A 22,843-nucleotide genomic window follows, 5' to 3' on the forward strand; every position below is an offset into this window, starting at 1 on the left:
TTAACATTAATTATTCAATAATATTACCTAATATACATCCATATTTAAAGTTCTCCATATTTCCCTACAAACTGATTTTATATTTGGGGCTTGTTTTGATTCAGATGCAATCAAGTTTCACACTTGCATTTGGTTCTGTCTCTATTTTAATCTACAAAAGCCCTCCTACCTATTTGGTTTTAGTTTTTGTAATATTGACTTTTTTGAAGGGTTCAGGCCAAGTGGTAGGAAACAAGTGTGTAAGGAAATGGAAACAAGAGAGAGTTCCTGACGACTGCGGGGAAAGGAAGACTCATCAAGGGCATCTAAATAATTCAAAATTAATAAAACATAAGATTAAAGAAGAACTACAGGCCAGGCACAGTGGCTCATGCCTGTAATCCCAGCACTTTGGGAGGCTGAGGCGGGAGGTTCACTTGAGAACAGGAGTTCAAGGCCAACCTGGGCAACATAGCCAGACCTCGTCTCTACTACAAATTTAAAAAGAAAAAAAAAAAAGTTAGCTGGGCATGGTGGCCGTATGCCTGTACTCCCAGGTACTCCAGAGGCTGAGGTGGGGAGATCACTTGAGCCCAGGAGATGGAGGCTTCAGCGAGCTATTACCTTGCCACTGCACTCCAGCCTGGGTGACACAGCAAGCCCTGTCTCAATAACCAAACAAAACTACAAAGTTCTGGCTTTTCCCACAGCCTACAAGCCTTCTTTTTTGTTTGTTTCTTGCCTCATAACTGGTGGCTCTGCTTTGCTGGCACATAAGCATGCATTTTTTCCTACTCTTTGGATAATACAGCACTGCCCAGGAGTAGCACTCAAGACTGAATCTTGAAGAAGAGTAGAAGTTTGCCAAACATGAGCAGGTAATAATTCCCAGAAGAGGATACAAAAGTAAGACATAAAAACTCATCGTATTGAAAAATCAAAAGACTCCACGAAAAAGACTGTTAGAAATAATAAACGAATTCAGTAAAAGTTTCAGGATACCAAATCAACATACAAAAATCAGTAGCATTTATATGCACCAACAGTAAACAATCTGAAAAAGAAATCAAAAAAGCAATCTCATTTACAACAGCTACAAAGAATATAAACTACGTAGGAATCAATTTAACTAAAGAAATGAAAGATCTATACAAGGAAAACTATACAATACTGATGAAAGAGGACACACACACAAAAAGGAAAGATATTCCACGCTTATGGATTAGAAGAATTAGGCGGGCAGATCACGAGGTCAGGAGATCGAGACCTTCCTGGCTAACACGGTGAAACCCCGTCTCTCCTAAAAATACAAAAAAATTAGCCAGGCGTGGTAGCGGGCGCCTGTAGTCCCAGGTACTCGGAAGGCTGAGGCAGCAGAATGGCATGAACCCGCGAGGCAGAGCTTGCAGTGAGCGGAGATCCAGCCACTGCACTCCAGCCTCTAGCCTGGGCAACAGAGCGAGACTCCGTCTCAAAAAAAAAAAAAAGAAAGAAAGAAAAAAGACAACACTACCTAAAGCAATTTACAGATTCAGTCCAATCCCCATCAAAATACAAATGGCATTCTCTAGATAGAGCAAGGATCCCCAACCCCCGGGCTATGGACCAGTACCCATCAGAAACCAGGACGCACAGCAGGAGGCGAGCGGTGGGCAAGTGAGAATAACCGCCTGAGCTCACTTCCTATCAGATTAGTGGTGGCATCAGATTCTTACAGAGGCTGGAACCCTATTGTGAACTGCACATGCGAGGGTTCTACGGCGCTGCGTACCTTACAAGAATCTGATGCCTGATGATCTGAGGTGGAACAGTTTCATCCCCAAACCATCCCCCCATCCCTACTTTCAGCTCTCTTTTTCTAATGTAAATGTCATGTACGAGCGTTTGTTTTTTTTGTTTTGTTTTGTTTTGTTTTTGTTTTTGTTTGAGACTGAGTCTCGCTCTGTCGCCCAGGCTGCAGTGCAGTGGCGCGATCTACGCTCACTGCAAGCTCCGCCTCCCGGGTTCACGCCATTCTCCTGCCTCAGCCTCCAGAGTAGCTGGGACTACAGGCACCCGCCACCATGCCTGGCTAATTTTGTTTTTGTATTTTTAGTAGAGACGAGTTTTCACCGTGTTAGCCAGGATGGTCTCGATTTCCTTGACCTCGTGATCCGCCCGCCTCGGCATCCCAAAGTGCTGGGATTACAGACGTGAGCCACCGCGCCCGGCCACAATAGTTTTATTTGACGTCAGGACTGTTTTGTAGACCGAGGTGTGATAGATGTGGCACGCACCAGCCACGGTTTCCACCGTCCCCAGAGCGTGGAGAGGCAGCGCCACTGCTCTCAAGGTTAATGACAACTCAATAAAGCACTGCTTTTATTTTTTGCAGTCTTCAATTTGAGAAAGGCCAGAAATAATGTTTTCAATAAATATGGTTCATACCATTAAAAAAAAAAATCCCCCCGCGTCCACGGAAAAATTGTCTTCCATAAAAGCGGTCCCTGGTGCCAAAAAGATTAGGGACTGCTGCTCTACAGAAATAGAAATAGAAAAAACAATCCTAAAATCTATATGGAACCACAAAAGACCCCAAAGAGCCAAAGCAATCCTGAGCAAAAAGCACAAAGCTGAAGGCATCATACTGCCCAACCTCAAAATCTACTACAAAGCTATGGTAACCCAATCAGTATGGTACTGACATAAAAATAGACACATAGACCAATGGAACATATATAAATCCATGCATTTACAGCCAACTCATTTTATGTCAATACCAAAAGTACAAAGGTGCCAAGAACATTCAATGAGGAAAGGACAGTCTCTTCAATAAATGATTCTTGGAGAACTGGATAGCCCTATACTGAAGAATGAAACTCAACTCTATCTCTCACCATATACAAAAATCGCATCAAAATGGATAAAGACTTAAACCTAACACATGAAACTATGAAGCTACCAGAAGAAAATACTGGAGAAATGTTCCAAGATATTGATCTGGGCAAAAATTTTTTGTATAAGACTTCAAAAGCACAGGCAACAAAAGCAAAAATAGACTAATAGGATTATATCAAACTAAAAAGCTCTGCACAGCAAAGGAAACAATCAACAAAGTGAAGAGGCAACCCACAGAATGGAAGAAAATATTTGCAAACTATCCATCTGACAAGAGATTAATAACCAGAATAAATATAACAAGGAGCTCAAACAACTCAATAGCGAAAAAAACCCACAAAAAATCCTGTCTAAAAATGGGCAAAGCCATATGTGGTGGTGCTTGCCTGTAGTCCCAGCTACTCAGGAGGCTGAAGCAGGAGGGTTTTTTTGGGGGAGGGGGAGGGGGTGGGGAGATGGAGTCTCACTCTGTCACCCAGGTTGGAGTGCAGTGGCACAGTCTCAGCTCACTGCAACTTCCACCTCTGGGGTCCAGGTGATTCTCCTGCCTCAGCCTCCCAAGTAGCTGGGATTACAGGTGCTCACCACCATGCCTGGCTAATTTTTTGTAGTTTTAGTAGAGATAGGGTTTCACTATGTTGGCCAGGCTGGCCTTGAACTCCTGACCTCAGATGGTCCACCTACTCAGCCTCCCAAAGTGCTGGGATTACAGGCCTCAGCCACTATGCCCAGTCCCAGGAGGACTGTTTGAGCCCAGTTTGATTCCAGCATGGGCAACATAATGAGAACTCATCTCTTAAAAAAACAAAGCGGGGGGAGCAAAAGATCAAAATAGACATTTCTCAAGACATACAAATGGCCAACAGCTATAAGAAAAAATGCTCAACATCACCAATCATCAGAGAAATGCAAATCAAAGCCACAACAAGATATCACCTCATCCCACTTAAAATTTCCTATCAAGACGACAGGAATTAACAGATGCTGGCAAGGATGCAGAGAAAGAGGAACTCTTGTACACAGTTGGTGGGAATGTAAATTAGTACAGCCACTATGGAAAATTGTATAGTTTCCTCCAAAAACTAAAAATAGAACTACAATATGATCCAGCAAATTCCACTACTGGGTATGTATCCAAAAGAAAGGAAATCAATATATCAAAGAGATATATGCACTCTCATGTTTATTGCAGCACTATTCACAATAGCTAAAATATGGAATCAACCTAAGTGTCCATCAATGGATGAATGGGTAAAGAAAATGTGGTATATATACACAATGGAATATTGTTCAGCCATAAAAGGAATGAAATTCTGTCATTCTCAGCAACATGGATGAAACTGGAGGTGATTGTGTTAACTGAACTAAGCCAAGCACAGAAAAGACAAATATTACATGTTCTCACTCACATGTGGGAGCTAAAAAAGTGGATCTCATGGAGATGGAGGTAGATTGGTGGTTACCAGAGGCCAGGAAAGGTGGTGGGGACGTGAGGATGAAGAGTTTGATTAGTGGACACAAATACAGAAGAAATAAGACCTATGATAGATCAGTAGAGTAACTATAGCTAATGTTAATCTATTGTACATTTCAAAATAGGTAAAAGAGAATAATTCAAATAATGTTCCTAGCATAAAGACAAGATAAATATTAAGGTGAAGGACATCCCAATAACTCTTGATTTAATATTTACACATTATATACATGTATTAAATTATCACTTGTACTCTGAAAATACATACATCTATTACACATCAATAAAAAAACTCATCCATTAAATTCTGTATTATCTTTGCAACTTTCCCGTAAATCTAAATCTATTTTCAAAAAGTTTATGAAAACTCATCCATGGGAATTTAAGGTGGCTGAAGATAGCTGAACACAGTGTAACAGGAAATAAAAACTTTTTAAAAATAGATCAACATGGCTGGGTGCGGTGGCTCACACCTGTAATCCCAGCACTTTGGGAGGCCGAGGTGGGTGGATCATTTGGGGTCAGGAGTTCGAGACCAGCCTGGCCAACATGGTGAAACCCCGTCTCTACTAAAAATACAAAAATTAGCCTGGCATGGTGGTGGGCACCTGTAAATCTCAACTACTCGGGAGGCTGAGGCAGGAGAATCGCTTGAACCCAGGAAACAGAGGTTGCAGTGAGCTAAGATCGCACCACTGCACTCCAGCCCAGGCGACAGAGCAAGACTTCATCTCAAAAAAAAAAAAAAAATAGATCAATACATGCACGGAAAAGGAAAAGGGTTGGAAGAAGGGGTAAGACTGATTCTATGTTAAGATAGTAGAGTTACAGTTTAATTCTTTTGTTTTTTATTTAAGAAAAATGTTTAAATAGGGGCCTTATGTTAGGCACGGTGGTTCATGCCTACAATCTCAGCACTCTGGCAGGCTGTGGTAAGAGAATCACTTGAGGCCAGTTCAAGACCAGCCTGGACAACATAGTGAGACTCCATCTGTATAAAAAATAATTAGCAAGGCATGGTGGAGCGTGCTGGTAGTCCCAGCTATTCAGGAGGCTGAGGTGGGAAGATCAGTTGAGCCTAGGAGGTCAAGGTGAGCTATTATCACACCACCACACTCCAGCCTGGGTGACAATAGAGACCCTGTCTATAAACAAACAAAAAAACACAAGGGACTTGTATGCATAATGAAAGTCTAGATTTTTCAGAGGCCATGATAAGTCACTACAGGGTTCTAAGCAGGAGTAATAGGGCCAGTTTACATTTTTAAGATTGCTCTGGCAGCAGTGTGGAGGGTGGTTGGAAGGGACAGTTAAGATGAGAAGAGACCACAGCAACAGTCCAGGAAGAACAGAGGATAAATGATGACTGTCTGGAACAGAGGGGAAATGACAGAAACAGAAGTAAGAAACTCTTTGGGATATGTAATTGGGGACCTCAGACACCTTCCCAGCTGCTAATGTTGTGTTCTGGGTAAGGCTGCCTATCTTTCAACCTAGACTGGTCAGTCAGTATGTCCCATTGTCTGATGTTTTTAGTGTGCAAAGAAGTCGATTAGGTCCCTAAGATCCCCCCAAATCCTACATACACAGTAGGAAGGTATTTTATAAAATCCTTTATTTTATGAGTGGCAATCGTCACCTCCCTACCCAACACATAAACACACATACCCATCTAGTCTTTGTTTTCATCACATTTCCCAAACTGATCGCATGTCAATGTGACTCACATAGAAAATAAACAAGAGGGGCCCATCACATACGCCAAGTTATCAATACTCCTTTCACCATTTCTGCTCAATCTAGAAGACTCAGCTTGGAATTATTTTAAGATTTTATGTTATTTGCAATATTATGGAAAAGTAAGTTACCGACATTCACAAGGTGATAAGCTGCAAAGAACAAGTTTGTTTTGTTTTCCTTTTTAAATTTAGAATCTTGTTTACAACACATTAGCATCATTAACAGAAAAACGACCATTTACATAGTAACTAAAAAACCAGCCACTTAAGAAAATAATGTAGTAATCAACCACTACCAGAGAAAATAGGTCCTCTCATTTGATTTTACTGGTAAGTCCAGCTGTTTTCTGAACTTTGTGAGAGTCTCTGTCCTGAATATGGCAAAGCATTCAAGTAAAAGGTAGGAAGTTATAAGTGTGAGATTCTGAGGGATTCTGTCTCAAAGAAGGTTCAGGAATAGCCACAGTCCTCCAGTTTACTCGAACGTTGAGATGTTCCTGTGATGACCAGCATAATTTCCTTTTGAGGAATTTTCACAATTCATCAGCCTCAGGATTCAGGTTTTATAAGACATTCTTCCACATTAAAAAAAAAAGACTCTGTCCCATAGAAATAAGTTTCTCATCGCTTCTCCAGCTTCTTGTACTTGGCTTCTGTGAGGGATGAGGGAGAGTTACATCTTTTAAAACTGGCTCTTACAAAGACAGTTTTTAGTTAGCATTTCCAGTCAAGTTTAAAAAATATGTATAATATTACTAAAAATCTATTAGCTTCAATCTCATCATCTGTCCAAATATACGGATCACTGATCTGTAAAACTTGGAATAAGAATTCAAGCACAGACACTCAGAACTGAGAGCCTAACACAGGTTCACGAAGTCCTCACCCTGTCAACAGCACCTACTTAGACAGCTCCACCAGGATGGGGCACATCTGTCACTTGACCTATCGGGAGCCTTACTAAAAAACTGCCTCTCTCAGCACTGTCCCAGGTGCCCTCTGGAACCAGACTGGAACCCTCAGGAAGTATAAATGTATGTTTCCTCCTGTATGTTCTTATCCTTACACCTTACTCCAGGAAAGCAATTTTGAAAGATACAGATATTTAAAAGGCCATCAAATAAGCCTCTTACTCTGACATTCCGTTTTTCTATTAAAACCATGAAAGCACCTGGTTTCACAATTTTAACAGAAAAAGGGACTCTGTCACAAATGGTTACTGTGAACCAAGATACTTTCTACATGGTAAGGTTACCCCTGCCTTCTACGCGGTAAGGTTCACGGTAATCACTGGCTAAATGTAACTGTAGAAAATAAAACTGATTGTTAATCGCCACCCATATCAAATCCCAGCCTACTACAAACTACTTTCTTGAAGTAGTCAGCCCTTGTTAAATGATGAAAATAAAATAATCTGTAAATGTTATAAGGACAAAAACAAACTCAGGCCCGTCTCCCTCTCCATCTCCCTCTCCCGTCTCCCTCTCTCTCTCCCGTCTCCCTCTCCCGTCTCCCTCTCCCGTCTCCCTCTCCCGTCTCCCTCTCCCGTCTCCCTCTCCCTCTCCCGTCTCCCTCTCCCTCTCCCGTCTCCCTCTCCCTCTCCCGTCTCCCTCTCCCTCTCCCGTCTCCCTCTCCCTCTCCCGTCTCCCTCTCCCTCTCCCTCTCCCGTCTCCCTCTCCCTCTCCTTTCCACGGTCTCCCTCTCAAGCCGGGCCAAAGCTGGACTGTACTGCTGCCATCTCGGCTCGCTGCAGCCTCCCTGCCTGATTCTCCTGCCTCAGCCTGCCGAGTGCCTGCGATTGCAGGCGCGCGCCGCCACGCCTGACTGGTTTTCGTGTTTTTTTGGTGGGGACGGGGTTTCGCTGTGTTGGCCGGACTGGTCTCCAGCTCCTAGCCGCGAGTGATCCGCCAGCCTCGGCCTCCCGAGGTGCCGGGATTGCAGACGGAGTCTCATTCACTCAGTGCTCAATGGTGCCCAGGCTGGAGTGCAGTGGCGTGATCTCGGCTCGCTATGGCCTCCACCTCCCAGCCGCCTGCCTTGGCCCCCCCAAAGTGCGGAGATTGCAGCCTCTGCCTGGCCGCCACCCCGTCTGGGAAGTGAGGAGTGTCTCTGCCTGGCTGCCCATCGTCTGGGATGTGAGGAGCCCCTCTGCCTGGCTGCCCAGTCTGGAAAGTGAGGAGCGTCTCTGCCCGGCCGCCATCCCACCTGGGAAGTGAGGAGCGCCTCCTCCCGGCCGCCATCCCATCTAGGAAGTGAGGAGCGTCTCTGCCCGGCAGCCCACCGTCTGAGATGTGGGGAGCGCCTGTGCCCCGCCGCCCCATCTGGGAGGTGAGGAGCGTCTCTGCCCGGCCGCCCCGTCTGAGAAGTGAGGAGACCCTCCGCCTGGTAACCGCCCCGTCTGAGAAGTGAGGAGCCCCTCCGCCTGGCTGCCACCCCGTCTGGGAAGTGAGGAGCGTCTCCGCCCGGCAGCCACCCCGGCCGGGAGGGAGGTGGGGGTCAGCCCCCCGCCCGGCCAGCCGCCCCGTCCGGGAGGTGAGGGGCGCCTCTGCCCGGCCGCCCCTACTGGGAAGTGAGGAGCCCCTCTGCCCAGCCAGCCACCCCGTCCGGGAGGGAGGTGGGGGGGTCAGCCCCCCGCCCGGCCAGCCGTCCCGTCCGGGAGGGAGGTGGGGGGGTCAGCCCCCCGCCTGGCCAGCTGTCCCGTCCGGGAGGGAGGTGGGGGGGTCAGCCCCCCGCCCGGCCAGCCGCTCCGTCCGGGAGGGAGGTGGGAGGGGGTCAGCCCCCCTGCCCAGCCAGCCACCCCGTCCAGGAGGGAGGTGGGGGGCTCAGCCCCCCCGCCCGGCCAGCCGCCCCGTCCGGGAGGGAGGTGGGGGGCTCAGCCCCCCGCCCGGCCAGCCGCCCCGTCCGGGAGGTGAGGGGCGCCTCTGCCTGGCCGCCCCTACTGGGAAGTGAGGAGCCCCTCTGCCCGGCCAGCCGCCCCGTCCGGGAGGGAGGTGGGGGAGTCAGCCCCCCGCCCGGCCAGCCGCCCCGTCCGGGAGGGAGGTGGGGGGGTCAGCCCCCCGCCTGGCCAGCCGCCCCGTCCGGGAGGTGAGGGGCGCCTCTGCCCGGCCGCCCCTACTGGGAAGTGAGGAGCCCCTCTGCCCGGCCAGCCGCCCTGTCCGGGAGGGAGGTGAGGGAATCAGCCCCCCGCCCGGCCAGCCGCCCCGTCCGGGAGGGAGGTGGGGGGCTCAGCCCCCCGCCGGGCCAGCCGCTCCGTCCGGGAGGGAGGTGGGGGGGCGGTCAGCGCCCCCTCCCGGCCAGCCACCCCGTCTGGGAGGGAGGTGGGGGGGTCAGCCCCCTACCCGGCCAGCCGCCCCGTCCGGGAGGGAGGTGGGGGGGTCAGCCCCCCGCCTGGCCAGCCACCCGGTCCAGGAGCTGAGGGGCGCCTCTGCCCGGCCGCCCCTACTGGGAAGTGAGGAGCCCCTCTGCCCGGCCACCACCCCGTCTGGGAGGTGTACCCAACAGCTCATTGAGAATGGGCCATGATGACGATGGCGGTTTTCTGGAATAGAAAAGGGGGCAAGGTGGGGAAAAGATTGAGAAATCGGATGGTTGCCGTGTCTGTGTAGAAAGAAGTAGACATGGGAGACTTTTCATTTTGTTCTGTACTAAGAAAAATTCTTCTGCCTTGGGATCCTGTTGATCTATGACCTTACCCCCAACCCTGTGCTCTCTGAAACATGTGCTGTGTCCACTCAGGGTTAAATGGATTAAGGGCGGTGCAAGATGTGCTTTGTTAAACAGATGCTTGAAGGCAGCATGCTCGTTAAGAGTCATTACCACTCCCTAATCTCAAGTACCCAGGGACACAAACACTCTGCCTAGGAAAACCAGAGACCTTTGTTCACTTGTTTGTCTGCTGACCTTCCCTCCACTAGTGTCCTATGACCCTGCCAAATCCCCCTCTGTGAGAAACACCCAAGAATGATCAATAAAAAAAAAAAAAGGCCTGTGATTCCAGCTACTTGAGAGGCTGAGGTGGGAGGATTGCTTAAGGCCATGAGTTCGAGACCAGCCTGGGCAACACAGCAAGGCCTTGTTTCAAAAACAATTTTTTTAAAGTAGCTGGATGTGATGGTGCACACCTGTAGTCCCAGGTACTCAGGAGGCTGAGGAAGGAGGATCACTAGAGCCCAGGAGTTCAAGGCTACAGCGAGCTATGATCACGTCATTGCACCCTAGCCTGGGTGACACAGCAAGACCTCATCTCTTATAGAAAAAAAAAACAAAACAACAACAACAAAAAACCCACTAAATTCTTTACTTTTAACCATGTATGTAAGAGCCAGAGCCAGTTAGCAAACCACTAGTACTAAAAATACTAGTTTCTTCCTCAAAGGAAAAGTGATCTTTCAAGAAAATCCTCAACTGACTATTCATTTAAGACATATTTATCTACATTATTAAAGGTGCTTCTGCTTTCTCAACTACAAATAAGAACTTGAGCTTTGTAAGCAAACAGACCTGCTTAGAAATATGGCTCTTCCCTGTACTGGCTTAGTGTCCTTAAGCAACTTACTTATCCCCTTAAACCAGTTTCCTTGCCTACAAAATGAGGATAAAAATCATGTACTTGAACCAGATGTGGTGGCTCACACCTATAATCCCAGCACTTTGGGAGGCTGAGGCGGGCGGATCACGAGGTCAGGAGTTCAAGACCAGCCTGGCCAACATGGTGAAACCTCGTCTCTACTAAAAGTACAAAAAAAAATCATGTACTTACCTCACAGATTATTGGGAAGATAAAAAACATAATACAGGCCAGGCCGAGGTGGGCAGATCACTTGAGGTTGGGAGATCGAGACCAGCCTGACCAACATGAGAGACCCTGTCTCTACTAAAAATACAAAATTAGCCAGGCGTGGTGGCGCGCCTGTAATCCCAGCTACTCGGGGGGCTGAGGCAGGAGAATCGCTTGAACCCAGACCCAGGAGGCGGAGGTTGCGGTGAGCCGAGATCGCACCATTGCACTCCAGCTTGGGCAACAAGAGTGAAACTTGTCTCAAAAAAAACAAACCAAAAACAAAAACCAAACATAATACATGTAAAGCACTAAGAACAGTGCCTGATATATCATTAAGTAATCAGGAAATGTTATTTTTATTAATATAATAATAAATTACTAAGGTTTTGTGAAGATTAATAGATCACTGTAGGCACACCATAAATGTTAACTATTATGTTTACTAAGAATATGCTGGCAAGAAGCAGTCTTTATTACATCAAAACAGAAGTAAAAACGGTTACCCAGTTTTTTTGAATATGCATCCAACTTGTAAGCTGCCTGCTCAAGAGCTGCTACCTGCTCTTCAATGACATTGATCTGATCCAGATAAGGCTGCAGTCCAGCATCTTTAAAAACAAAGAAAAACTTCATGTTTATATGGCTTTATTAACAAAGAATATAGGAAAAGAGTGGAAAAGTAATAATGCTAGTGTCTCTCCAGCTATGCTAAGACAGATTAGGTGGCGTGACATGATTCTGAGCACTAGCAGGGCAGATGCTTTAGAAGACAGTAGCTAGTTGATCAGGCACGACTGTGGCCCAGACTTAGTGTCTCTCATCTACTAATTTTCCATTCTTTTTAATTTCTTGCTCCTTGAGCAATCTTTCCATTACTGATTCTGTTTCTTGGGTACTCCCATACCAAGAAAGAGCACCCTAGAGAAAAGAAACACAAAAATAATAAGTCAATGGAAAAAATATATTCGACTACTCTAAATTAGTGTTTTCCATTATAGAGTTTTTGGTTTTCTGCTTATAGAGTAATCCTTTATGGATTTGTAAATCAATTCATTAGAATCTGGCCACCCTTCCTTTGCCCCCTCCCATTCCAGGAATAAACTGATAAAATCAAGATTTAGAAGCAAAAATACCCATACAAACAAAACATGCTAATCCTCAGAATGGAAGAAATTCATCTTAAATTTGGAATTCATTTTTAGAAAACAAGCTCCCACAAGACAAGGATGTCATGTTCCCTCCTCTTCTCCATGGCCCCAAGCACAAAAGAACATTAAATACAAACATGTTTAATTACAAATATTATTACTTACATTTCTGGTTTAAGTCCTTTAAGTTCCTACTAATGTTTATAGCAATATCTTTCATTTCAAGATACTTCAAGCTGGTGAGTTTATTCATATTTTCCAGGAGCTTATAGTCTTCACTGGTGGCTTGAAAATTAAACAGAAGATGTAATGTCTTTAAGATTTGTCTTAAATCATTAGAATGTGGGAGTATAAGCTAAGTGGTAGTTCAAGGCAGGACCAAGGAAGTGTCAAAGGAGTGGGCCACTTTTGATCTATGACATTTATAACTCAGCCTATGTACTCTGAAAGTCTAGGTAGAAATTCAGGCAACAATCAGAAAACTATTTAAACCAAACAAGATCCAGAAGGTTCAGGATCATGGTTACAAAGGGAAATGATAAACTCATGTCCTAAGAAAAGGGAGGTAAAATAGTCTTGGTACTTCTACAGCATGAAAACATTTAACTTATATACATATAATATATATACTATCAGGCTGGGCGCGGTGGCTCATGCGTGTAATCCCAGCACTTTGGGAAGCCGAGGCGGGTGATCACGAGGTCAGGAGTTCAAGACCAACCTGGCCAAGATAGTGAAACCCCATCTCTACTAAAAATACAAAACAATTAGCGGGCGTGGTGGCAGGCACCTGTAATCTCAGCTACTCGGGAGGCTGAGGCAGAGAATTGCTTGAATCCAGGAGGCGGAGGTTGCAGTGAGCCGAGATTGTGCCACTGCATTCCAGCCTGGGTGACAGAGTGAGACTCCATCTCAAAAAAAAAAAATATATATATATACACATACACACACACACACACACACACACACACACACACTATCAGCTAGGACCTCACTACTTCTTAGTAACTCGTTTATTACCATGTATAATTCTATATTGCATTTTATGCAGTGACATTTCCAAACCATCTGTCTGCTTCTCATATCCTCAGTTCTTTCCCTATCCCCATTCAAAGCAAATGGTCTCTACTCCAATTTTCCTAAAGGCCAAGTCCATTAACATAAGCTGCTTCAACCTCTCTGCCTTACTTCTTTTGTTTTTTGTTTTTCTCTCTGCCTCACTTCTAAACTTCTCTGGATCTTAATATCTTCCCAAGAGGCAGAAGTGTTCCTATTCTTGCCAAGACAACCCCCTCCTCTTGTGGCCTTGAACCCAAACACTTCTACTTCTTCAGGGCCTCTCTTCAATCATCTCCTTTCACTTGCATTTCCAAATTCTCCCTCTCTCCTGGCACCTTCCTCTCTATGTATCAATATATTCAGATTTCTTCCAGCTCAAAAGCACTCTCTCTATTCTGCTACATCTATATCATTTGCTCAGTAAAGCAAAGGAGCTTCACTGCTAAACAATTTGAAAAAGTAGCTGACACTCACTACATCCTCTTCCTTACCATTTACTTGCATATACCCTTGTAGTCTGGTTTTTGGCCCTACCATCCAGAGATTACATGCTCCAAAGTCATCCTGCTCTGCTAACCACCAAATCCATGGCATTTGCTCAGTTCTTATCCTCCTAAACCTCTCCATTGTCTTGGACACTACTGATCTCCTTCTCTTTGGGAAATGCTCATTTCCTTTGGCTGCTATGGCATTGTACTACACCGATGATTTTCTAATCTCTAACTGCTCTTCTTAGATGTCTATGCCAGATGCTTTCTTATCAGACCCCCTTAACTATCAGTTCTCAACTGTTTCTCAGCTGTAACACATAACTGATGTTTACATGGGTAGCACATACCTATGGGCATTCCCAGGCTTATGCTAGAAACTAGCATAGTTTAAGAGGAAATATCAATTTACTCTTAAATTCAATAAAGCATTTGTGCGAGTAAGAATAACAATCACAGGAAAATAACAATTTGCTTAAAATTAATTATATAATAAATCATTTGGAAACCTAGGTACTTTAAGTGTTACTAAAAACAAATTAAGTGCACCATACAGGCATTCCCTGACATTTTAGCCTAGGCTCTCTTACCTACTTCTAAGCTCTTCCTTGGCAATCTCATCCTGCACAGCGTCCAATCACACCACTACGAAAGTGACTCCGAAATCTGTTTCTTGTGCTCTGATCAATCTCTGAGCTCTGGAATCCAATGTACAAGTCACCTGAGTTCCCTAGTTACATCAACAAGCAGCCAACCCAAAACTGAAAACATTTTCACACTAAACATGGTTCCTCTTTCCAGCTATTTTGGCTGATGGCACCACCCAGGCTTAAAACCTCAGATACATCTTGGTCTGCTTCCATCCCTCAATATCTACTTAAACAAGTCCTATAAAGTCCACTTCTGTAATGCTGTTGCACCCATGTTCTCCTTTCCATTCCTTTTACCACCACTCTGCCTCAGATCTTCATTACTTTTCTTTTCTTTTATTATTATTAGATTACTTGGAGCATGTAACCTCTGGATGGTAGGGGAAAAGACAAGACTACAAGGATGGAGTCGTGCTATGTTGCCCAGGCTGGTCTTAAACTACTGGCCTCAAGCAATTCTCCTGCCTCCCAAAGTGCTAGGATTACAGGCATGAGCCACGGTGCCTGGTCCTCTATTACTTTTCATCTGAATTATTGCTCATCTCTCTCTGTTCTCTCTCCCCCATATCTACACTCTCATATTTATACTGCTATCAAATTAGTCTCTCTAAAACAAAGGTCACAGCTAGGCATTGCGCCTCATGCCTGTAATCCCAGCACTTTGGGAGGCCAAGGTGGGCAGATCACTTGAGGTCAGGAGTTCAAGTCCAGCCTGGCTGACATGGCAAAACCTCATCTCTACTAAAAATAAAAATAAAAATTAGCCAGGCGTGGTGGCGTGTGCTTGTAATCCCAGCTACTTTGGAGGCTGGGGCAGGAAAATTGCTTGAACCTGGGAGACGGAGGTTGCAGTGAGCCGAGATTGCACCACTGCATTCCAGCCTGGGCAACAAAAGCGAAAACTCCGTCTAAATAAAATAAAATAAAACAAGGGTGACATATTCAAACACCTAGAAGCCAGCAAGATAACGTAAATGAGTAAAGTAAGCCAAGTGCTTGCACATTAAATGCATAAGAAAATTATTCACTTCCATGAAGAAATGTGCTTCCCCTTACTTCTTGCAATATGCAATCCTCTTAGCCCATCATTTACTTTACCAGTTTTGATAGAGCCATTGGTATAGAAAACCATTTCTGTACTGCTACTAATAAAAATAACAGTAGAGAACAGTGATCAATGGCACTTGACACTAGTTCCCAGTAAAGGGAGAAAACAGAAAGTGGTAAGGACAAATTAGATAGCACTAGTCCTTTTAAGAGGCAGCTGCTCAGCTCTAGTCAATTATAGCCTTGAAAGAATGCAGGGGCTAGTAGCGCCAAATCTTTGGAATTGTTAAAGAGAAGCCAAACACCTACATTTTGTTACTTGGTTTCTCTTGCTCAAAAATAAACAAACAAATAATCAGGCTGATAACTTACAGAGTCACAGCTGGGTGCAGTGGCTCACACCTGTAATCCCAGCATTTTGGGAAGCTGAGGTGTTAGGATCACTTGAGGCCAGCTTGGGCAACGGAGCAGACCTCATCTCTATTATTTATTTATTTAGGACAGAGTCTCCCTCCATCACCCAGGCTGGAGTGCAATGGCACGATCACAGCTCACTATAACCTCCACCTCTCAGGTCAAGCGATTCTCCCGTGTCAGCCTCCTGAGTAGCTGGGATTATAGGCGTGTGCCACCACACCTGGCTAATTTTTGTATTTTTAGTAGAAGCAGGGTTTTGCCATGTTGAGCAGGCTGGTCTGGAACTCCTGACCTCAGGTGATCCACCTGCCTAGGCCTCCCGAAGTGCTGGGATTACAGGCATGAGCCACCGTGCCTGGCCATATTTTTTTAAATAATAATAATAATAAAAGAAAAGTAATGAAGATCTCAGGCAGAGTGGTGGTAAAAGGAATGGAAAGGAGAGCATGGGTGCAAGAACATTACAGAAGTGGAATTTATAGGACTTGTTCAAGTAGATATTGAGGGATGGAAGCAGACTAAGATGTATCTGGGGTTTTAAGCCTGGGTGGTGCCATCAACCAAAATAGATGGAAAGAGGATCACTTGAGCTCAGGAGTTCAAGACCAGCCCAGGCAACATAGTGAGACCCTGTCTCTTAAAAACAGAAAAAGAAAAAAAAAAATTACAGATTCACAACCCCTACTATTCTGTATCAAGCCTTTTCTCATAGATTCTGATTCACAAATTTAGCTTACAGTAATTTCCTGGGGAAGTGAAACAATTTAATAAATGTTTTTGAGATGCTGTACTGGACCAGACTTCACTTTCTTTCTTTTTCTTTTTTCTTTCTCATTTTTTTTGAGATGGAGTCACACTCTGTCGCCCAGGCTGGAGTGCAAGTGGTGTGATCTCAGTCCACTGCAACCTGCAACCTCCACCTCCTGGGTTCAAGCGATTCTCCTGCCCCAGTCTCCCCAGTAGCTGGGATTACAGGCGCCCGCCACCACGGCCGGCTAATTTTTGTATTTTTAGTGGAGACAGGATTTCGCCATTTTGCCCAGGCTGGTCTCAAACTCCTGACCTCAAGTGATCCACCAGCCTCGGCCTCTGGGATTAAAGGCATGAGCCACCGCGCCCTGCCCATACTTCACTTTCTGATCCTCCTCCACACATAGGTCATGTGTCCACTTGGAAACGATCAAACACTAGTCATGTCCCAAAGGATGGGTTATCAAATCCTCAGACCAAACTAATAGGTCCCTAAATCTGCAGGTCACTCCCCGTTCCTCAATTTCATTTCTCTTTATCCCGGTAAACACATCTTCTGCTTTAGCCAAACACACTGCTTGCACATACCACCTCATTCGCTAGTTGTATCATCTCCCCCTTTTCCACCAATAATTCCCTTCACAACCCTGCTCAAAATACACTTTCCCCAAGGAAGCACTTCTTGATTACTGTTGCTGGATATGAACTCTTTTTTGTTATTGTTTTCTCATTAGTCTATGTTACAGAGGCCTGCAGAGTTGTATTTTCTTTCTCTCCCATTCATGGCCTCCCCCAACTTCCAACAGGCCTGTCTCAGGGCATGCAGGGTAGGAAGGGAGCTGCAGACTGATGCTGCTAACCATCTCCCAGGCCTCCTGGGCCAAACCGCACCCGAATCAACCCAGACCCCGCCTCACCCGTCAGTTCCCCAGTCAGGTAAGTGGCCATTTTGGAGAACATGTCCCGGCAGAGCTCAGTGATGTCAGCTTCAGCAGGCTCCTTTGCTTCCTCAGCTGTCTCCACGGCGGCATCGTCTGGGCCAAGGGAGAATGACTAAGTGTCCCGCCTACACCCGGTGCTAATCCAGCCAAAGCAGCCTGTTCCGACATCCCTCCACTTGCCTTCATTCCATCAAGTCGGCTCCATTCTCCATCTGCCATAATTTCAAGTCCTTCACTGCGTCCCTGCCCATCTGACACATCAACTCGCCTCCCTCGCACCGCCCCTCGCCCATACCCGGCACCCCCGCTCATCCTGGCACCATCCCAGTCACCCTGACAGGACAAACACTCGCGCGCAGCGACAAGTGCACTCCTCTCACCAGCCCGTTCCTGCCAGGTGAGCCACCACACACTCAACCTCGCCCACCCGAGACGGAGCCCCAGGCCCCCCACCGGACGCTTCCTCCCCATCCATTCCGGGTACCTCGGGCGGGCTCATCACTCCGGGTCGCCAGTACGCCCTCGGCTGCCGCCGCCATAGCGGACCCCGCGCTGTTTCCGGGCCGGGGTGCTGCGCATGCGCACTGGGTGTGCCCCGCCCACCCGGCCGGCCCTGCAGTCCTGCGCCTAGCGGTCCAGTCCAGCCTCAGGTCTATGACACAGCAAAGGGCGATTCCGGAGCCGAAATTGAAGCTACGCCAGGCTGTTGTGAATTGATCCACTGCCAACAGTCGCGACGTCTGGGACTGAGGGCGAGCTCATCCCTACAGTCACACCCTGGAGGGATCACTCATCTTGTACCACTCACGACCCGTCTGGGAATAGTCAACCCTGTTTGTGGCCTGCTGACCAAAACCACTGAAGACGGATTGCCCGCTCTCCTGACACTCCGCACTGGAGTTAGTCATCAAAAGATTGCTCAGGGAATCCAAAGTTTTACAGGTTGTCTCGTCCACACTTTGGGAAACCTTCAGGCATTGATCCCTGGTCCTAAATACTGTCCCTCCCAATGTCCTGAGTTAACACCAACTCACTGGCCCCTATTTCTTAAACTGCAGGCAGGCATCTACTTCTCTTCAGTTGATACAGCCTTCCTTGAAGAAAGCTTAGACTGTAACTTTTTTAGGGCTGAGGATACACTCTGGTTATCTTAATTGCATTTAAGCTGTTTCACAAGCCTCCTAGGTGTACAGAGTACTTAATGGGATGGGAGAACAGGAGTGAGTGAAAGAGATGGATGAGAAGAAGTGACTGGGGAGCAATTGAAGGTGCAAAATGAGGAGGGATAAAGGCCACAGAAGAAGGGATAGGAGATATTCAGCAGGCCTCAGGCAGGCTCCTGGACACCCAAAATCTTGGTAGTTTCTTTTCTTATCCCTGGTTATCCTCCCTCTGCACCCTCTCACCCCACCCCGATGCCAGTACATACACACACACGCCAGCTACCCCTTATCCCCAGCCCTCCTACCCTGACTGTCTCCACCCTGAGGACTGAGTCTCACTTGTCACCTGTCCCCACTTTTCCTATGGTGCAACCATAGTAGCCACTATTTCAAGCCATTCCTGCGAGCCAGAAGTTCTTTTTTTTGAAACAGAGTCTCGCTCTGTCACCCAGGCTGGAGTACAGTAACGTGATCTCGGCTCAGCTCACTGCAACCTCCACCTCCCGAGTTCAAACGATTCTCATGCCTCAGCCTCCCAAGTAGCTGGGATAACAGGCACGCGCCACCACACCTGGCTAATTTGTTTGTATTTTTATTAAAGACAGGATTTCAGCATTTTGCCCAGGCTTGTCTGGAACTTCTGGCCTCAAGTGATCCACCCAACATAGCCTCCCAAAGTGCTGGGATTACAAGCGTGAGTCACTGTGCTAGGCCTAGAAGTTCTTATAGCCCAGCTCCTTCACATCACTGCACCTACTCTATACCTCCTAGAGAGCATGAACCTATTCCAGCCCAGGCACATGGATGACCCACAATTTCAGCCTTTCTTCCCTCTATAATACCAGAAGCAAATGCAAAGTCCAAGTTTTCCTAAGGAGTTTTATTGATAGCCACCATGGAAACCCACATGGTCTTATGGAAGAATAATGTCAGAACCCACCACATATTAATTCAAAGATCTCTGAATCCTGAGTTCATTTCCTTGCCTGATTCCCTTCAGGCTCCATTTTTATCTCCTGGTTAAAGCCCACTCAGTTTCCAGGTTCAGTGGACCAGGAGGCAGCCTCTTGCAGAAGATCCTTCATAGACTTTGCTCCGGGAGTGCCTCACACTTAACTCCTCTGCAACGTTGGAATCTCACCACGGGAGAGTCTCCTCTCCTCTAAGGCTTCCTCTTCTCTTTTATAGGGAACCTCTGTGGGGGAAAACGAGAAACCCATGGGTGCTAGCAACAAATCTTGGGATGCACAAAGGATAAGAATAGGATTCACTGGGAAGTAGGAAGACATCTAGATACCGCCTACTCTCTTGGTTTCTACCTTTTTCACAGACCATGGCTATCCAGGTGCTTAGGAAGAGCCATTACCCTCCCTCTCTTTATCCTGTTTGTTAACTTTTTTTTTTTTAATTAACACACAGAGCTAAGTACACAGGGAGTAAAAGGCCCAGTGGAAGACGTTATTTCACAGAGCTATGTGGCAACACACAGAAACACTGATTCACAAGCCTAAGCATGATGCCCACCACACACAGAAACATTGGCTCAAAAGGCCAGATGCAGGGTGGGGCTCAGCAGCAGCCATGATGGGACCTGTTGTCCTAGAAGTGCAGGGGATGTGGCGAGGGGGCCTGTGCGGAGGCAGAGGGAGGGAAGCCTGCTGTCTGATGCTTTAGGCCCCCTTCCTCACCACTCTCCTGCCCACCCTGGACTCCCCAGGGGTCTGGGGTCACAGCTGGGGCTGGCTGCGGGTGCTTCCAAATAGCTTGTTCCTTCTGTTGGAAGAAGAAAGGGACAAATCATTTGAAGAAATAGTTTGTGTACCACTTTTCTTTTCTCTCTATCTGATTCCAGAGAACTCAGACTGCTATAGACTGTTTGCGTCCCTCCCAAATTCATCCGTTAAAATTGTAACCCCCAATGTGATAGTATTAGGAGGTGGGGCCTTTGGCAGGGGATTAGATAGTGAGTATGTAGCCCTTATGAGTGGGCTCACGCCTGTAATTCCAGCACTTTGGGAGGACGAGGTGGGTGGATCACCTGAGGTCAGGAGTTCGAGACCAGCCTGACCAATATGGAGAAACCCCATCTGTACTAAAAATACAAAATTAGCTGGGTATGGTGGCACATGCCTGTAATCCCAGCTACTTGGGAGGCTGAGGCAGGAGAATCACTTGAACTCAGGAGGCGGAGGTTGCAGTGAGCCGAGATCGTGCCATTGCACTCCAGCCTGGCCAACAAGAGTAAAATTCCATCTCAAATAATAATAATAATAAATAAAATAAAAAAATAAAATAAAGGAGACTTCCCTTACCCCTTCCACCATGAAAGGGCACAGCAAGAAGACAGCTCTCTATGAATCAGGAAGTGGGCCCTCAACAGATACTGAATCTACTGGCACCTTGATCTTAGACTTCCCAGCCTCCCAAACTGTGAGGAACAAATTTGTGTTGCTTATAAGCCACCCAGTCTATGATAATTTATTATATCAGCCCAAACAGACTGACACAGACCATCTCATGTGGCCAAGGCAGCCCTTAGGCCAGGGCAAGCAACTTCCAGGCCTTATCTCCATGACCCATCTCTGCTGATACACTAACCGCTATGAACATGTTTCCCCAGGAGCCTGAAAACATAGGTCTTTCAAAAATGTTCTTGCCCCACCCACTGAGTGGAAAAGATGGCAGAGTTCAGCTGTGAGGAACTAGGAGGACCAGGTGAAGGGCCACTCACCACGCCTGGGGAGGGAGCCAGCCACCCCTTCCTCTCCAGCATTTTCAGCTTTGAGCCTACAGCATCAATCTGGGACACTACTCCTTCCAGGACAGTCTCCAGCTGCAGAACTCTCCTTGTGAGCCTGTGTGGGATTTGAGAGAGACGAATGGAGCAGAAATCTGTGTCTGGGGGCTGGATGTCTAAAGAGCCAGGGTTCACAGAAGGGCATGTGTCCTGAATGGAACAAGGAAGGGAAGACCCAGCCTTGTAGGCAGAATTAAAGGGGAGCGGAGGTTCTCCCTGGGGTAGGACAGAGAATTGGAAAGTTGTGGGAAAAGTACAAGACAGGGTATCGTAATAGAAGTGTTGCCAGCCCTGAACCAGCCTTTCTTGGCTGCACGTACATGTAGAATTCTTCTCCTGAAACCCAGCCTCCTGCTCTGGCAGCCTCTGGACCCGATTTGCCTTGTGGGCTGCTCACAATAGATCGGCCTAGTTTCTCAATCTCAGTGTTGAGGGCCACCTGCTCAGGAAGTCAGAGGTTAGAGGGGAGGAGATAACTCTGGGAAGCCATCAGCTCCTGTTCTATCACCTACTCTACTGGGATCTCAGGACCAAGGCTCAGGTCCTAGTTCTTGCTATTCCCCTTCCCTCCCAGACTCTGGAGACAATAGGGTCAGGGTGGTGGTGCTGGACCAACCTCTGGAGGAGTCACCTCTCAAAGAAAACACAAGATCCTAGAAGGCTTGATGGATGAGGTATTTACTAGAGGCCAACTCATTTTAGCAGAGGAGGGACACTACCAGTGTTCTTGGCACTTTCTAGGCTGCTGTCACCCTGCCTTTGACTTTTTTTGGTCCACACTGGATAGGGATGGAGCAGGCACAGTAGGGACAGCCAAGAATCCAAGTCTGAAAATTCCCAAGAGAAGGCAAGTCCTCTGAGGGAATTATCAGTGATTCTTGGGCAGTTGGTCATTTTTCCCTAAGCCTGTGTTTTAGAGCATGATTCTCAACCTTGGCTATGTATTGGAATCACCTAAGGAGTTATAAAAAGTACTGATGTCTAGGCCCCACACCCAGAGATTCTGGTTTAATTGGTCTAGAGTGTGTGTCCTGAGTATGAAGATTTTTAAAGGCCCCCCAGGGTATTCTAATGTGCAGCAGTTTGGGAACTACTATTCTAGAGAGTTCTTTACTATCTATGGGAGAGTTTTCAGGTGGGTTTGTGTTCTAGGTATGTTGGGGGAAGGAGAGGGTGAGCTATTTCCTTACACTGCCTCTCCACCCATCAGCCCAGCTCACCCTCTCTTCCTCCAGGTCCTGTCGCATTTTTTCCTGTTCCTTCTCATCCAGAATACGATTCCCATCTCTGTCAAACTTGGTGAAGGTGGCCGTGAGCTCAGTGATTTCATGCTCTGCGTGTCCCAGTCTGAGAAGAGGATGATGAAATGATTTCTGCCCAGCTGTGGCTGTGACCTCTCAGTTATGGACTTCCTCACTCTTTTGCTTGACTCTGGCAAAAGTTTTGCTTCTGGTAAAGAAGGTTCTCCAAAGTCTAGCAATCTTACCCCCAGGAAAACACTCAGTTCAGTTCAGTTTCTTCTTCCTCTCCTGAC

The 22,843-nt window shown here is 46.7% G+C and overlaps 2 protein-coding genes across 8 annotated transcripts in view, besides 3 other annotated features; both read right to left on the reverse strand.

The window, feature by feature from the left end:
* On the reverse strand, window positions 4,507-17,909 carry BLOC1S2 (biogenesis of lysosomal organelles complex 1 subunit 2). 6 transcript variants are annotated; one of them, NM_001282436.2, is made up of 6 exons: window positions 17,834-17,909; window positions 17,326-17,442; window positions 14,135-14,242; window positions 12,163-12,282; window positions 11,353-11,457; window positions 4,522-6,722 (listed from the first exon to the last, which is right to left on the reverse strand). In NM_001282436.2, the coding sequence occupies exons 3-6, from the start codon at window positions 14,163-14,165 to the stop codon at window positions 6,691-6,693; spliced, it is 288 nt and encodes a 95-aa protein (NP_001269365.1). In that variant the 5' UTR covers window positions 14,166-14,242; window positions 17,326-17,442; window positions 17,834-17,909; the 3' UTR covers window positions 4,522-6,690. The 6 variants fall into 6 exon arrangements, with proteins under 6 accessions (NP_001269367.1, NP_001001342.1, NP_001269365.1 ...); NM_001282438.1 differs by lacking the exons at window positions 14,135-14,242; window positions 17,834-17,909 and adding an exon at window positions 17,530-17,607 and having other exon boundaries at window positions 4,507-6,722; NM_001282439.2 differs by lacking the exon at window positions 14,135-14,242 and having other exon boundaries at window positions 4,522-6,719.
* Window positions 17,143-17,650: an enhancer, noted in NCBI's record as "H3K27ac hESC enhancer chr10:102045671-102046178 (GRCh37/hg19 assembly coordinates)". NCBI's record gives its function as "activates a minimal SCP1, AML or CMV promoter by ChIP-STARR-seq in primed H9 embryonic stem cells {active_cell/tissue: H9 hESC(primed)}" and the evidence as "EXISTENCE:reporter gene assay evidence [ECO:0000049][PMID:30033119]".
* Window positions 17,236-17,535: an enhancer, noted in NCBI's record as "active region_3886". NCBI's record gives its function as "activates an Ori minimal core promoter by ATAC-STARR-seq in GM12878 lymphoblastoid cells {active_cell/tissue: GM12878}" and the evidence as "EXISTENCE:reporter gene assay evidence [ECO:0000049][PMID:35858748]".
* Window positions 17,826-18,025: a silencer, noted in NCBI's record as "silent region_2705". NCBI's record gives its function as "represses an Ori minimal core promoter by ATAC-STARR-seq in GM12878 lymphoblastoid cells {active_cell/tissue: GM12878}" and the evidence as "EXISTENCE:reporter gene assay evidence [ECO:0000049][PMID:35858748]".
* PKD2L1 (polycystin 2 like 1, transient receptor potential cation channel) overlaps window positions 19,378-22,843 on the reverse strand; it is a 42,080-nt gene continuing 38,614 nt past the window's right edge. For both annotated transcript variants that reach the window (NM_016112.3, NM_001253837.2), the window contains exons 12-16: window positions 22,530-22,656; window positions 21,630-21,748; window positions 21,244-21,367; window positions 20,201-20,285; window positions 19,378-19,707 (exon numbers count right to left, since the gene is read on the reverse strand). In NM_016112.3, coding sequence (NP_057196.2) covers window positions 19,625-19,707; window positions 20,201-20,285; window positions 21,244-21,367; window positions 21,630-21,748; window positions 22,530-22,656 — 538 coding nt within the window. In that variant the 3' untranslated portion in view covers window positions 19,378-19,624. The remainder of the gene's footprint in view (window positions 19,708-20,200; window positions 20,286-21,243; window positions 21,368-21,629; window positions 21,749-22,529; window positions 22,657-22,843) is intronic.

The sequence above is a fragment of the Homo sapiens genome, chromosome 10 (genome assembly GCF_000001405.40).
Source record: "Homo sapiens chromosome 10, GRCh38.p14 Primary Assembly".
Classification (NCBI taxonomy): domain Eukaryota; kingdom Metazoa; phylum Chordata; class Mammalia; order Primates; family Hominidae; genus Homo; species Homo sapiens.